The sequence below is a fragment of the Homo sapiens genome, chromosome 7 (assembly GCF_000001405.40).
Source record: "Homo sapiens chromosome 7, GRCh38.p14 Primary Assembly".
NCBI lineage: Eukaryota > Metazoa > Chordata > Mammalia > Primates > Hominidae > Homo > Homo sapiens.
This window is the reverse complement of record NC_000007.14, coordinates 53,388,761-53,403,630: the sequence shown is the minus strand read 5'-3', so window position 1 is coordinate 53,403,630 and position 14,870 is coordinate 53,388,761. Positions and strand designations below refer to the sequence as shown.

The window sequence follows — 14,870 nt, the reverse complement described above, 5'->3', positions numbered from 1 at the left end:
GTTAGAATACATTTTCATCTAAAATTCTAACCATTTCTTTGTATGTTTATGCTCTGAAATAAAAAGATATCATATTACTTCCCATGGCACAACACTTACTAAAGTAAATATAAAAATAAAGGCAGAAAAGATTTTCCCAATATTCATTTTGTAGAAAAGATTGTTTTGTAGCTATTTCATTTTCATATATGAAGTACACAGTTTTACATATTATATAGCAAGTCAGAGATAAATTTGTTTTGAGAAACTAAATTTACCTAAAATCAAAATGGTTTACATTTATGGGTATAATTTATTGCCACTAAGCATCACTTTGATGTGTCCTTATCCTTACTGATCAAAAATATACACATTTACTTTCCTCATTTAGGAATTTTTATGTAGCCGTTTTTCATATGTCACCCCTTTTATGGGCAAGCCTTCCTACAAGTCAAATCTGAACACACCAGGCTTACCTGCTGATACCTGTCATGCTTTCCATGACAGGTAAGAATATGGATTTAATGCTTTTCCTTTGCTTCAATTTCCAAGGCAGCAGACTTGCTCTGTGTGCACTCTCACAGAGACAGCAGTATTGCCTTTAAATATGTATCTATATATGTAGCAGGTTACTATTACACATTCCAGAAATACACTAACATTGTTTTAATTATCTTCTCAAATGAGGAATTCACATCAGATTTTATTCATTCTGATACTTCCATTATGAGTTTCATAAAATAATAGTATTGAGAAGATAGATTATTGAGGACATTGAAATTAAGAAACATTGATAAAATTAAAAAACGACGTTTTTACAGAAACTCATATTCAAAATAGATACGCATTTATAAAACAGTGAAATAATCCTTTATTAAAACCATTGCTATCTCAAAAATAAAAAAATAAAGCTCCCTTGAAAGTTGTCAGTGTTGGTGATAAGATTAAATTAGAAGGTAAGAAAATAGAGGCCATGGCTCAGGTTGAAAGATAAGATGGTTTCCCAAGTGCTTTTATTCTTGCTGCTAGTGTTTTTGTTTGTCCCTGAGGAAAGTGTACAGACTTGGATTGTTGCCCTCTGAGTCTCTACGGAACAATTAAGAATACGTGAACATGGATTGTCAACCTGTAGAGTCAATGCATTGAACTTCGAGGTCCTAATGGGTGAATATTGTTTATACCTTACGCATTCCAGGTCTATCTAGTTGAGACAGGAGCTCTTAAATTCAGATAAGACTATCATTTATGAATGTTTTGGGCTTCATTATCAGTAAATTTTTGTACATTTGAAAGGGTTGCCCAATTATAATTCAATTCCTTTTGAAAAAAAAGTATTCTTCTACTAACAGTTTCTAGCAGGTTTTATTTAAAATAAATGAGAGAGGGGAGTGTGAATATTACTTCCAAAAGCTTACTGGATTCCCAAATCCAAGATATTCATAGTTGTATTTTCCTTTAAATGTATATGAATTTTTACTGTAACTCTCTTCCATTTTCAAACTATCTCAACATATCTAGCACAATGCTCAGAGTATTGTTGCAATATTTAAACTTTGTACACGTCATAAAGAGCATTTTAAGAATTACACAGTACAGGCCGGGTGCGGTGGCTCACGCCTGTAATCCCAGCACTTTGGGAGGCTGAGGCGGGCGGATAATGAGGTCAGGAGATGGAAACCATCCTGGCTAACATGGTGAAACACCGTCTCTACTAAAAATACAAAAAAATTAGCCAGGCGTGGTGGTGGGCGCCTGTAGTCCCAGCTACTCGGGAGGCTGAGGCAGGACAATGGCATGAACCCAGGAGGCGGAGCTTGCAGTGAGCCGAGATTGCACCACTGCACTCCAGCCTGGGCGATAGTGCGAGACTTTGTCTCAAAAAAAAAAAAAAAAAAAAATTACACATTACAATGGTAGACTTCTAAATATTGGTTGAATGTTATGTTTTTAAATGAATTCTGTCAATCACGGATATTTAGTGTGTTTCTCAATGAAAACTAAAATGCTTATATAGCAGAGCATTTCTTTTATAAGTTTTTACTGATCTAACAAATGAATAAAGGACCTAAGATATTTCACCCAAATAAAATTTTCATGGGACACTGTGGAACTCCAGTTACGGGATGAGTCCTATGCATAGTCACAGGAAGACCCTTTGCCTGTAAACACCAATTTGGAGAAAGATCTTAGATGCCTAGACAATGCATAGGAACTACAATGGAGTCTGACATGTAGGGTAATATGTGACTATGACGTATTCGCTGGGGATAAATAGACTTCTAAGTGGCCCTAGATGATTTTCTAAATGATCCTAGACAATGCTTTATAAATGGAACTAAATGATTGTTGTAGTGTTATTTTAGTTTGAAACAACCAGGACACTATGACCTATGGATGAGATGAGTGAAACTAAGCAATGAACAATATTTACTGGAATTCTACAAAATTACAGAAAGCTGTTGTAGCAAACACCCAAATCTCATGTTGAATCACAGTTCCCACAATTCCTACGTCTCATGAGAGGGACTCGGTGGAAGGTAATTGAATCATGGGGGTGGATCTTTTCTATGCTGTTCTCATAATAGTGAATAAGCCTCAGGAAATCTGATGGTTTCAAAGGGGAGTGTCCCTGCAGAAGTTCTGTTATTCTCTCTTGTCTGCTGCCATGTAACATGTACCTTTTGCCTTCTGCCACGATTGTGAGGCCTCCTCAGCCACGTGGAACTGTGAGTACATTAAACCTCTTTTTCTTTATAAATTATACAGTCTCCAGTATGTCTTATCAGCAGTGTGAAATGGACAAAAACATTAGTATACACCTCTGTGCAAATGCCAGCACCCCTCATTTGTGCTAGTAGCTGCAGGTTATAAACAGGAAGAAGGAAGCCTCAACAACAGTCCTGACACTGAACCAAATGATAGAGTGTATCCTTATCCAGAAGTGCACTAGAAACAGGAAAGAAAACAACAACTCTCAGAACTACTAGTCTGAACCAAATGATAGAGTGTATCCTTATCCAGAAGTGCACTAGAAACAGGAAAGAAAACAACAACTCTCAGAACTACTAGTCTGAACCAAGTGGTAGAATGGGAGAACGTGATGTGGATGACTAGGAGGTCTACACCCAGATGCTTCAGGAGCTAAAAGCTGGGGAGGGCCAGGCACGGTGGCTCACGCCTATAATCCCAGCACACTGGGAGGCCAAGGCGGCTGGATCCCCTGAGGTCAGGAGTTTGAGATTAGCCTGACCAACATGGCGAAACCCCGTCTCTACCAAAAAATTTTAAAAATTAGCCAGGTGTGGTGGTGTGGGCCTGTAGTCCCAGCTACTCGGGAGGCTTGAGGCATGAGAATCACTTGAACTCAGGAGGTGGAGGTTGCAGTGATCAAAGATCATGCCACTGCACTCTAGCCTGGGCGACAGAGAGAAATTCTGTCTCAAAAATAAAAATAAATGAATAAATAAATAAATAAATAAATAAATAAAAGCTGGGGAGCACAGTTGTCTCCACCCACCTCCAAGCATCCAAGCATCCAAGTCACTGAAATATAGATCACCTTTTACAGAACGTAACAGGTTTTCACCTTTCCACCTTATTCAAGTTCTTCATATTTTGTTCGTATTACTAAATACTTATCAGGGGACAACTTAAAAGATAGTATTCCCTTTTCAAGACAGTGAGGTAAGAGTTCATGCTGGTTACAAAAATTGCCAATTCACAAAAGTGATATTTTCTTAGTGTGTTCAATAAACTGACGTACATTTATTATTCATTCTACTCTCATCGATTTTTTCTTTGTAAACGGTATTTCACCAAATGTTATTGCATATTTTGCAGACTGTTTTCTCATCACCCTCAGTTTTAAGGTATGCTAGATAGTCTTACAGTTGCTGCATCACTATGATTCTGAGGCAATGACATCCTTGAAAGGATATACTATACATACTTATCAGTTTAGCCATACTCAAGAAATAAGGTCAAACTAAATTTTTAAAAGACACTCAATAAAATAAAGCATAAATTGAAATTTTAAAAAATGTGTTCCCCTTTTACACTGTTGGTGGGAGTGTAAACTAGTTCAACCATTGTGGAAGACAGTGTGGCAATTCCTCAAGGATCTAGAACTAGAAATACCATAACCCAGTCATCCCATTACTGGGTATATACCCAAAGGATTATAAATCATGCTGCTATAAAGACACATGCACACGTATGTTTATTGTGGCACTATTCACATCAGCAAAGACTTGGAACCAACCCAAATGTCTATCAGTGATAGACTGGATTAAGAAAATGTGGCACATATACACCATGGAATACTATGCAGCCATAAAAAATGATGAGTTCATGTCCTTTGTAGGGACACGGATGAAGCTGGAAACCATCATTCTCAGCAAATTATCGCAAGGACAAAAAAACAAACACTGCATGTTCTCACTCATAGGTGGGAATTGAACAATGAGAACACTTGGACACAGGAAGGGGAACATCACACACTGGGGCTTGTCGTGGGATGGGGGGAGTGGGGAGGGATAGCATTAGATGTACCTAATGTAAATGATGAGTTAATGGGTGCAGCACACCAACATGGCACATGTATACATATGTAACAAACCTGCAGGTTGTGCACATGTACCCTAGAACTTAAAGTATAATTTAAAAAAATGTGTTCCCGACATAATTTTTCCAGGAATAGTAAAAAGAAATATATTAACTAGTTTTTCATTTGTACATTAATATACTTATTTCTATAATGAGACTGTGTTTCAAAGACACTTATTAACAAAGTCTGTTGAAAGCATCAACTATCTTGGGAAATGTCGTCTCCAGATTTGAGTCATGTTTTAGTGTAATGTTTAATCTTATGTGAGGATGTTGGAGAAACTACAGCAGGACACTAAGGAATGAAGGTCAAAACCACAAATGCAGGGAGCTAGATGTATCATTAACTTTTTAAATATACTGAGTTATAAGGTCAAAAAATTACAGACAGAACTTCCAGCTTCTGCTGATGGTGTAGGCATCTGGAAAATGTGTCTTTATTAAAATTACATTTAAAAACGAGTGATATTCAGGGTCATGACTTTCTGAACCCATCAGAGAGCTGAATTGCAGGGCAATTAAATAGTTTAAAATGAAGGAAAGAGAGGTGCCTCCTACAATAACAGAGATGGGCTGCAAACATTGGATGACCTGTGGCAGAGCACGGAAAGAAGGCAAGGATGACAGCTACATGCAGGTAGGAAGAATGTAGCTAAAAGAGTTGGTGGGTTCCTAAAGAGCAAATATAGCTCAGGATGAAAATAGAGTAACTCTAGCGGCCACAGATACAAAGGAAATTTGTTTGCTTCTGTAGAGTTTACTTTATGGACCAGCTGCAAGATGTGGAGTTGATTTAAATAATGGGATTATGGGCTTTGAACCGCCACTATCATGAAATGAGACTTCTAAAGCCCTCAGGAGGAAGTGAATGCATGGTGCATTTATAAGAAATGTGAATCACTGAGGGACAGAAATTGCAGTGTGGCAGGCAGCTTCTAAAGTGACTGTCAGTGATTCCCCCTCCTGGTATTCACTGCCTTGTGTAATCTTTGCTCTTTTCGTGTGTGCTGGACCTGGGGACTTGCTTCTGATTGTTAGAGCACAGGAAAAGTGATGGAATGCCCATTTAAGATTGGGTTGTAAAGAAAGATTACTTCTGTCCTGCTTGCCAGAACTCTCTGTCTCCAGCTCTTCTTATGTCCTGGTCCTCAAGGTCCACAAGTCGGGGTGACCCACCTGACAAAGGACTAATGGCAGCCAATGCCCAATTGCCAGCAGGGAACTGAGGCCTTCAGCACAACAGCCTTAAGGAATTGAACCCTGCTAACAACTCTCAAGTGAGCTCTGAGGCAGATCAATCCCCCACAAAATCTGTAGCCCCAGCCAGAATCCTGCATGCACCTTGTGAGAGGTCCCTTATCACAGGCCCAGTGAAGCCGTTGCCTGCACACCTTCAAATGATGAGATCATCTGTGTGTTGTTTTAGCTGCTAAATGTGGATTATTTAGGATGCAGCAATAGATAACCAGAATAGATTTAAAAGGTGAGGTGGGAGACCTGAGAAAGACCCCTCAGTGGTACAGCCTGAGAGAGGGAGTGGCCACTGCTATGGAGTGGAATCCAGCTCTGCCTGGGCCCTTCTCCCCTAAAGAGTAGAGGGTTGGGCCAGACCCAGTGGCTGACGCCTGTAATCCTAGCACTTTGGGAGGCCGAGGCGGGTGGATCACCTGAGGTCAGGAGTTCGAGACCAGCCTGGCCAACATGGTGAAACCCCATCTCTACTAAAAATACAGAAATTAGCTGAGTGTGGTGGCAAGTGCCTGTAATCCCAGCTACTTGGGAGGCTGGGGCAGAGAATCACTTGAACCTGGGAGATGGAGGTTGCAGTGAGCTAAGACTGTGCCACTGCATTCCAGCCCATGAGACAGAGCAAGACTCCATCTCAAAAAAAAAAAAAAAAAAAAGTAGAGGGCTGAAGTAACTCGGTGAAGGCAGGGAATACCATATCCTTCAGGGCATATGTAAAGACTAATTGAGGCAGGGAAAGGGAAAAGAACAAACCCTCTACCATAGAAGACAACACAAAGCTAAAAGAAAAACAAAAAAAAAACAAACAAGTGTCAAATACTTTTAAGTAAATTAAAAATACATATGTTATTAAGTGAACCAAAAGCTGAAAGAATGTATTACCAGTAGACTTACACTATAAGAACTCTTAAAGCAGTTATTTAAGCAGAAATGGTACCTGAGAGAAGCTAGGATCTACACAAAAGATACAGACTTTTGAAAAACTGTTAAAGTATATGTAAACATGAAAACAATTTTCTTATTTTAGATAACTCAAAATAGAAGTGCCTGAAGTAAAAATAATAGCAAAGCTTTTGGGGTTTTATTTTATTTTTTATTTATTTATTTTTTGAGACAAAGTCTTACTGTCACCTAGGCTGGAGTGCAGTGGCACTATCTCAGTTTACTGCAACCTCTGCCTCCAGATTCAAGCAATTCTCCTGCCTCAGCCTCCTGAGTAGCTGGGATTACAGGTGCCTGCCACCACATCTGGCTAATTTTTGTATTTTTCAGTAAAGACGCGGTTTCACTGTGTTGGACAGGCTGCTCTCAAACTCCTGACCTCAGATGATCCACTCGCCTTGGTCTCCCAAAGTGTTGGGATTACAGGCGTGAGCCACCGTGCCAGGACAGCTTTTTGTTTTTTAACATAAACAGAGGTGAAATGTACAACAAAATAGCATAAATACAGGAATTGGAAATGTAAGAGAATAAGATTCTCATACTGTTGTGGAGCAGCATAATATTACATGAAGGTTGACTATGATTCATTAGAGTTTATAGTGTGTAAAATAAAATAAAATTTCAGAACCCTCTAAATGTATTATGCTAAGGGGAAAGTTAAGCTCTGGAGGCTGAGTCAGTAGCATGTTTGCAGTTCTACTTCTAAGATTAAACTCTCTCATTGTTCTGGTTCCCATAAATGCCTATGAGAGGCCAGAGACTAGACAGCCCCCTTCCTATCATGGACCTTTGCTGTGGATTAACTGCCTGCTTTATCATTCTGTAACTTTCTCAGACCAGATGGCACCCAAGAGGCCATGACAGTTGTATCTTCAGTGTAGAATGTTATAGTTTCCAGAAACAAAAAGACCACCTCAACTAGTCAGATTTTTGTAGTTATGCATTATGCCTTATAAAGAAAGATGAAATTCTGTTAAACTCCCCTAAGCTTTACCTATATAAGCAGTCCCAGACTTCTACACTTTGGAGCACTGACTTGCATTCTTTGGAATCCATGCTCCTCAGGCAGGTGGCTCTTCCTTAAATTTTGTGCTGGAACTAATTTCCTTAAATCAGATTCTGACCTTTCTGATTATTTTAGATTGACCAATGTAAATCCCAAGAAAATAATGAAAAACTCTAAAATAAAGAGGCGTAAATAATAAATAATAGCTAGTAGTGAAGATGAAATGGAATGATAAAATTTACACAATCAAGAAGCAGGCAAAAAAGGAAACGAGATAAAAAATATGCAAAACAACATCATGGTCAATATTTATCCAGTAAACCAAAATTTGTATTAAATAAAATGATCCAAATGTATCAATTTAAAAACAGAAATTGTCAAATGGGTTTAAGAAAAAAGGCCTAGTGATGCATTTTTAAAGTCTATTTTAAACATAAAGACACGGATAAGTTAAAAGGATGAGAAAAATAAAAACGCTGGCCGAGTGCAGTGGCTCACGCCTGTAATCCCAGCACTGTGGGAGGCTGAGGCAGGCAGATCACAAGGTCAGGAGATCGAGACCATCCTGGTTAACAAGGTGAAACCCTGTCTCTACTAAAAATACAAAAATAAGTGGGGCGTGGTGGCGTGCACCTGTAAGCCCAGCTACTCCGGAGGCTGAGGCAGGAGAATTGCTTGAACCCAGGAGGTGGAGGTTGCAGTGAGCCGAGATTGCACCACTGCACTGCACTCCAGCCTAGGCGACAGAGTGAGACTCCGTCTCAAAGAAAAAACAAAAAAAAAGGCCCAGTAAATGCTAGCCAAGAGACAAGAGCCTCATTGAGATAAAATAGACTTCAGAACCAGAAAATTTATTAGAGATATAAAAGGATAATAAAAGTACCTAATGATAAAGACATCAATTTATCAACACACTGCAGTCCTAAATGTGTACACACCTAACAACAGAGCTGCGTGATACATGAGTCAAAAACTGAAAAAACTGAAAGGAGAAATTGACAATTGCTCAAATATATATGTATATGTGTGTATATATATATATATATATATATATATATATATATATATATATACACACACATACACATAATATCATGCCCAAATGTGATTTATCCTGAGAATGCATGCAGAGTTGGTATTTACAAAATGGTATCTCCATATCAATCAATGGAAAATAACAGAGTCCAAAAATAGAGGCATTCATATATGGCTAATTGGTTTTCAACAAAGGTACAAGGGCAATTCAATGGATAGGAGACAGTCTTTTCAAAAAATATGCTTGATCCTTTGAACATTCCTACACAAAATAATTAACCTTGATTCACACTACATACTTAATATAAAAATTAACTTGAAATGGATCATATACCTAAATATAAAACATAAAATTATAAAATTTCAAGAGGAAAACAGGATAAAATATTTTTGGCCTTGGTTTAGAAACACATTTCTTAGTTGTAATCCCAAAAGCATGATCATTGAAATAAAATATTTGATAAACTGTACTTTATTTGTTTGTTCATTTATTTATTTATTTTTGAGATGGAGTTTCACTCTTGTTGCCCAGGCTGGTCTCAGCTCACTGCAACCCCTGCCTCCCAGGTTCAAGCAATTCTGTCTCAGCCTCCCAAGTAACTGGGATTACAGGTGCCTGCTGCCACGACCGGCTAATTTTTTCATATTCTTAATAGACACGGGGTTTCACCATGTTGGCCAGGCTGGTCTTGAACTCCTGACCTCAGGTGATCTGCCCACCTTGGCCTGCCATAGTGCTGGGATTATAGGCATGAGACACTGTGTCCGGCCAACTCTACTTTAATAAAACTAAGATATTCTGATTTTTAAGAAGCGTTATTAAAAATTAAAAGAGACGATAAAAACTAAGGAAAATGTATGCAAAACACATTTCCAGTAAGAGATTTGTATTCAGAATAAACAAAATCTCACAACTCAATTACAACAAATCGGTGATTATTTAATGTGGGCAGGAAGATGACAACAAAAGGCCACCATGGAATTCTTTTTTGGCGATGGAGCTGGGCTATTATCTTGATTATGGTGGTCATTACATGGATGTGTACTTTGTCAAAACATACAGAGCTACAAATTAAAATGGTTGTATTTTACTGCAGGTAAATTATACCTCAATAAACCTGATAGAAAATAAAATAAAATAAAACTACTGCCAAAAAACCTGATATATATACTATAGCAGAAAACACATTATGTATTTAAACATTTATTTAAAGACAAACAATTAGTTTCTATCTTTATAATTCTCCAACATGTTAATATGTTCTCTGATTTAGAAATATGAAGTTTTCACAAACAACTTAGTAATATAAAATTTTAAAATATGTCATTTAATTTTTGCTAAACAGATAAGGTATGTTTTGTTATATATTCCTTCCAAATTATTTTTCTTACTTGTCACTTAACAATATTTCTATCGGTGTATTATGCTAGTCTCTGGCAAATAGTGATCTTCAAAATGCAGTGGTTTCTAGAAAAGAACTATGGTATAATTAGGATTTTCAATTCTTATGTGCCATTCCTGATACAATAAAAAACAAAAACCAGGCTTTGACGGCAAGCCCATATTATTTTAAATTCCCATTCCTGGTCTTTCTCACTCTTATACCTTTTGAACAAGTAATTTATGCCTTATCTTTGCAAATGTACATTTATATTTATACCACATGGTATTAGTGAACGTTCACTCAATGCATAAGTAGAACAAGTTTGCCACTGTATCGTATATTGTCAATAAATAACAGTTCCTTTTTTTTCTCAAGAGAAAAGCTTGAAAGTTTGTCTCTTTATGTGATGTTCAACTCTTATTCCACAGTTCCTGTGCGAGCCTGTGTTTGTACGTTGCAAAATAAAGCACATATGGAAAAAAAAAGATTTAGTCTATGTGATTTAAAAAATAATCATCTTTTGAGACCTTTATTTTATACATTTAAAATTAGTGTAATATTTATTTTGCAAAACTTTGAGAAAATTAAATAAAACAATGCTTGGGAAGACAATATGTAAAATTAAGTGCTATTTGATGATTTATTATTACTATATTAATCAAAGCAAAATTAATATGTGAAAGGCATATTATTGACAAAATCTTACTAAATAACTCATTCATTTATATATTTCATTAAAATTTAAGCTCTTTTAGATCATTTAGTTTAAAAAGAAAAATAGTGGAATCAAAATGGAGACTGTGAATAAATAATTGGAAAATACAATTAATATTTAAAGCTACTTACATTTCTGTTCAATGTTCTTCAGTTAATAGTAAGTTCAATGTTAGTAGGTGTTAAGACATTTATGCACATCAGATAAAATAAGTATAAGAATGTATATATATACATATAATTTAAAAAGTCATTACAGCCTCCTTTACCAATACCCTTATGAAAAATCCAAATCTTAATTTCAAACTTTATTCAGTGAATGAACTAACCAAGTTGGTAAAACTTGATGAATTGTTTCAATGACAAAAAATGGTCATATTTGGTGACCAACTGAAAAGAATCATGTCAGGTTGAGAATAGGCCCAATCATTCATGCCAATGAGGATTATTTTCCTATTAAGCCATTTATGCCTGAGGTTACAATTTTTTGAATTTTTTTGTTGAGACCTTGGCAATGACCTTCAACGGTAGGATAAAAATAACTCCCACAGGCTTAGCGTTCCAATAATGCAACACTAGGCATAAATGGGTTTAGCAAAGATTTGTATCAATTATTTTTTCCTGAGGATGAACTCAGAACAGGAAAAAATATTCAATGTAAAGATCAGAAGCAAAAGAAGTAGGGAAGGCCCTCGGCAAAAGTTAACTAAAATATTAATAAATAGGCCCAGAAATATAAACTAAACTAAATATATCTCTTTATTGTGTGATTGTTTAGATCACTGACAGATTAGACCAGATTAAAATTAGTAGAGAAAGAGTACATAACTCTAAACTCTCAACTCCTACAGCTAATAGATGAATCCATTAAAGTTGTAAGATACTAGGCCAATATAAAAATTAGTTGTGTTTCTATACAATAGCAATGAACAACCTTAAATGAAGTTAAGAAAATAAACTCCATTTAAAATAGTAACAAAAAGAACATAATACTTAGGAATACATTTAACTGAATAAATATGAATCTTATCAAAACTATAAAACACTGTTGAAGGAAATCAAAGACAATCTAAATAAATGGAAAGGCACCTATGTTCATGGATTGGAAGATAATCTTGTTAACATGATAATACTCCCCAGATTCAATGCAATTTCTAGCAAAATTCTAACTGCCATTTTGCAGAAATGGATAAGCTGTTCCTTAAATCCATGTGGAAAAGTAAGGGGCCCAAAATAATCCAAGCAATATTGAAAAAATAAAGAACACAGTTGGAGAACTCACAATTCCTAATATCAAAATTTACTACAAAGCTACAGTAATAAATACACTGTGATAGTCATATAGGAATAGATACGCAAAACAATGAAATAGAATAGATCCCAGAGATAAACGCTTACATGTGTGATTTTGAGGTTACCAAGTACATTCAGTGAGGAAAGAATCATCTTTTCCACAAATGCTGTCGGGACAAATAAATATCTACATGTAAAAAAAATAGATTTGGACTCCTACTTTACATCATATTCAAAAATTAATTCAAAGTCAATCAAAGACCTAAATGTACAAGCTAAAACTATAAAGCTTTAGAACATATAACTATAAATCTTTGTGACCTTGGACTAAGCAAAGATTTCTTAGATATGACAATAGAACCACAAGTGACCAACGAATAAACACATAAATTGAATTTTATCTAAATTAAAATCTTTATTCCATCAAAGAGTACTACCAGGAACATAAAAAGACAACCCATGGTATGGGAGAAAATATTTACAAATAGATAAATATATATAATAGATATGAAGAAACTGAAATGCACATGCGTTACTGGTAAAAAATCCAAAATAGTTTAGCAACTATGGAAAACAGTTTCGCAGTTCATCAAAAAGATAAACCTATCCATAGGATTTAAAATTCCACCCCCTAGTTATACACTGAAAAGAATTAAAAATATGTTTGTGCAAAAACATATATATATGTGTGTGTGTGTGTGTGTGTGTGTGTGTTGTAGCATTATTAATAATAGCCAAACAGCAGAAAGCCTAACCAAAATGTCTTATCAATTTATAAACAGATAAACAAAATGTGGTATACCTCAGAAACATTAAGGAATAATATGGAGCCATAAGAAATAAAGTCCCAGTGCTTTCTACACCATGGATGAACCTTGAAAACATTGTTAAGTTAAAAAAGAAAACAGACAAATAAGGCCATATGTTGTATGATTCCATTTATATAAAATGTCCAGAATAGTCAAATCCATGAAGCCAAAAAGTAGATTAGTGGATATCCGGGGTTGGGGAAACAGTGAGAGTGGAGAGTGACTTCGAATGGGTATAAAACTTATTTTTTAGGTGTTTCTGCAGAAAGAAAAAGATCAAGCAGGATTACAGGTGTTGGCTGTGTGTGTGCCCTACTGGCAAAGGAGGTACACAACGAGGGCATATAGGGAAGACACTGACAGCGTCTGCCATAGCATGCATGTCAACCCAAAAGGAAAATACATCAAAGAACAAGTGTCATACTTAAACGGAAAGACAGCGTGGGCCAAATAAAAACACCTGTAAATAATCTGAGTTGTACCAGTTATCCCAGTGAAGTATGATTAAAAGCACCCCTTTTCACTCACAAAGAAGGTGAAATCGTTTAGAAATACAAGATCATGTATTATATACATTAACACATAAACTACAGTCAATAATAGGACCTCAGGCTGGTTGTGGTGGTTTGAGCCTGTAATCCCAGCACTTTGGGAAGACTAGGCAGGCAGATCAACTGAGGTTAGGAGTTCAAGACTGGCTTGGCAAACATAGTGAAACCCCGTCTCTACTAAAAATACAAAAATTAGCTGGGTGTGGTGGCATACGCCTGTAACCCCAGCTACTCAGGAGGCTGAGGCAGGAGAATTGCTTGAACCCAGGAAGCAGAGGTTGTAGTGAGCTGAGATTGCACCACTGTGCTCCCGCCTGGGCGACAGAGTGAGACTCCATCTCAAAAAAAAAAAAAAAGAATAGGACATCAAACATAAATTGTAAATATTTGCATAAACAAAAGTTGAAGTCATCAGAGTAATCCATGCAGTTGCGTGAACTTGACTTTGGAGCACCCAATGTCTCCTCTGGAGAACACAAAATACCAGAAAACTAGACTCAAGCATGTTTCTGTCATGAGGTATCTTTATTCCTCACCCACCTCAAGATTCATGGCAGACACACCTATAACAAAAGACAGATTCACAAGACAAAAGCATGCATGTTTATTTGATATGTTTTAGATGAAACAGAACCTTCAGAAAGAAAGACTCAAAAAATGAACAAACCTGTATATTTTTCATGCTAGGTTTGATTAAGAAGTCATAGAGTAGTATGATTGGATAAAAAGGCAGGATCTGATGGCAACAAATTGGGGGAACTTAGCAAGACCTGTTTGTTCAGACTCATTCCTTCCCTCCAGCTACAGGGAGAGCAACCCTGGAATTTAGGCTTTAAGATCTGCTTCAGGGAAGAAAGGGTGAGGGAAGGCTGAGAGTGATCTTCTTGCTTTTGCTGTTTTCTCAAATGCCAAGGTATCATATTTTGGAGTAGCCCGTCCTGAATCCCATCTCTGTACAGAAAGACAAAAAGGTTTTGCTCCAAATAAAGTAGTTAATTTATTAAACAAATGATTTCAGCACTTGCATAAACTGTAACTAACCTATTGCTCATAAGCACCTGAACAGGAAAGCGGAATGACTTTGTGCTCTAGACAGAGAGATGGGGTGGGCTGTAGGAGGACTCCAACTCACGTAGCTAGGACAGGGCAGAGCTGGGACTTGTACAGAGGCACTTTGATTTTTGAGTCCTGGCTTTTAATCTCCAGGCTATCCCGTTTGTATAAAATTAACTGAAGCATTATATTACCAATAAATTGTCAATCCTTTCCTTGGCCACAAATGAAAGTAATACTTCAAATTTCA

The 14,870-nt window shown here is 36.6% G+C and overlaps 1 long non-coding RNA gene across 4 annotated transcripts in view; it reads left to right on the top strand.

Annotated features, from left to right (window-relative positions):
- Positions 1-14,870, top strand: part of LOC105375282 (uncharacterized) — a 70,883-nt gene that overhangs the window by 15,276 nt on the left and 40,737 nt on the right. For 3 of the 4 annotated variants that reach the window (XR_927268.3, XR_927267.3, XR_927266.3), the window contains exon 1: positions 4,970-5,221. The exons of the other annotated variant lie outside the window; for it this stretch is intronic. This is a non-coding gene — a long non-coding RNA (uncharacterized LOC105375282). Of the gene's footprint in view, positions 1-4,969; positions 5,222-14,870 lie in introns of those variants that run through there. 4 annotated transcript variants of the gene reach the window in all.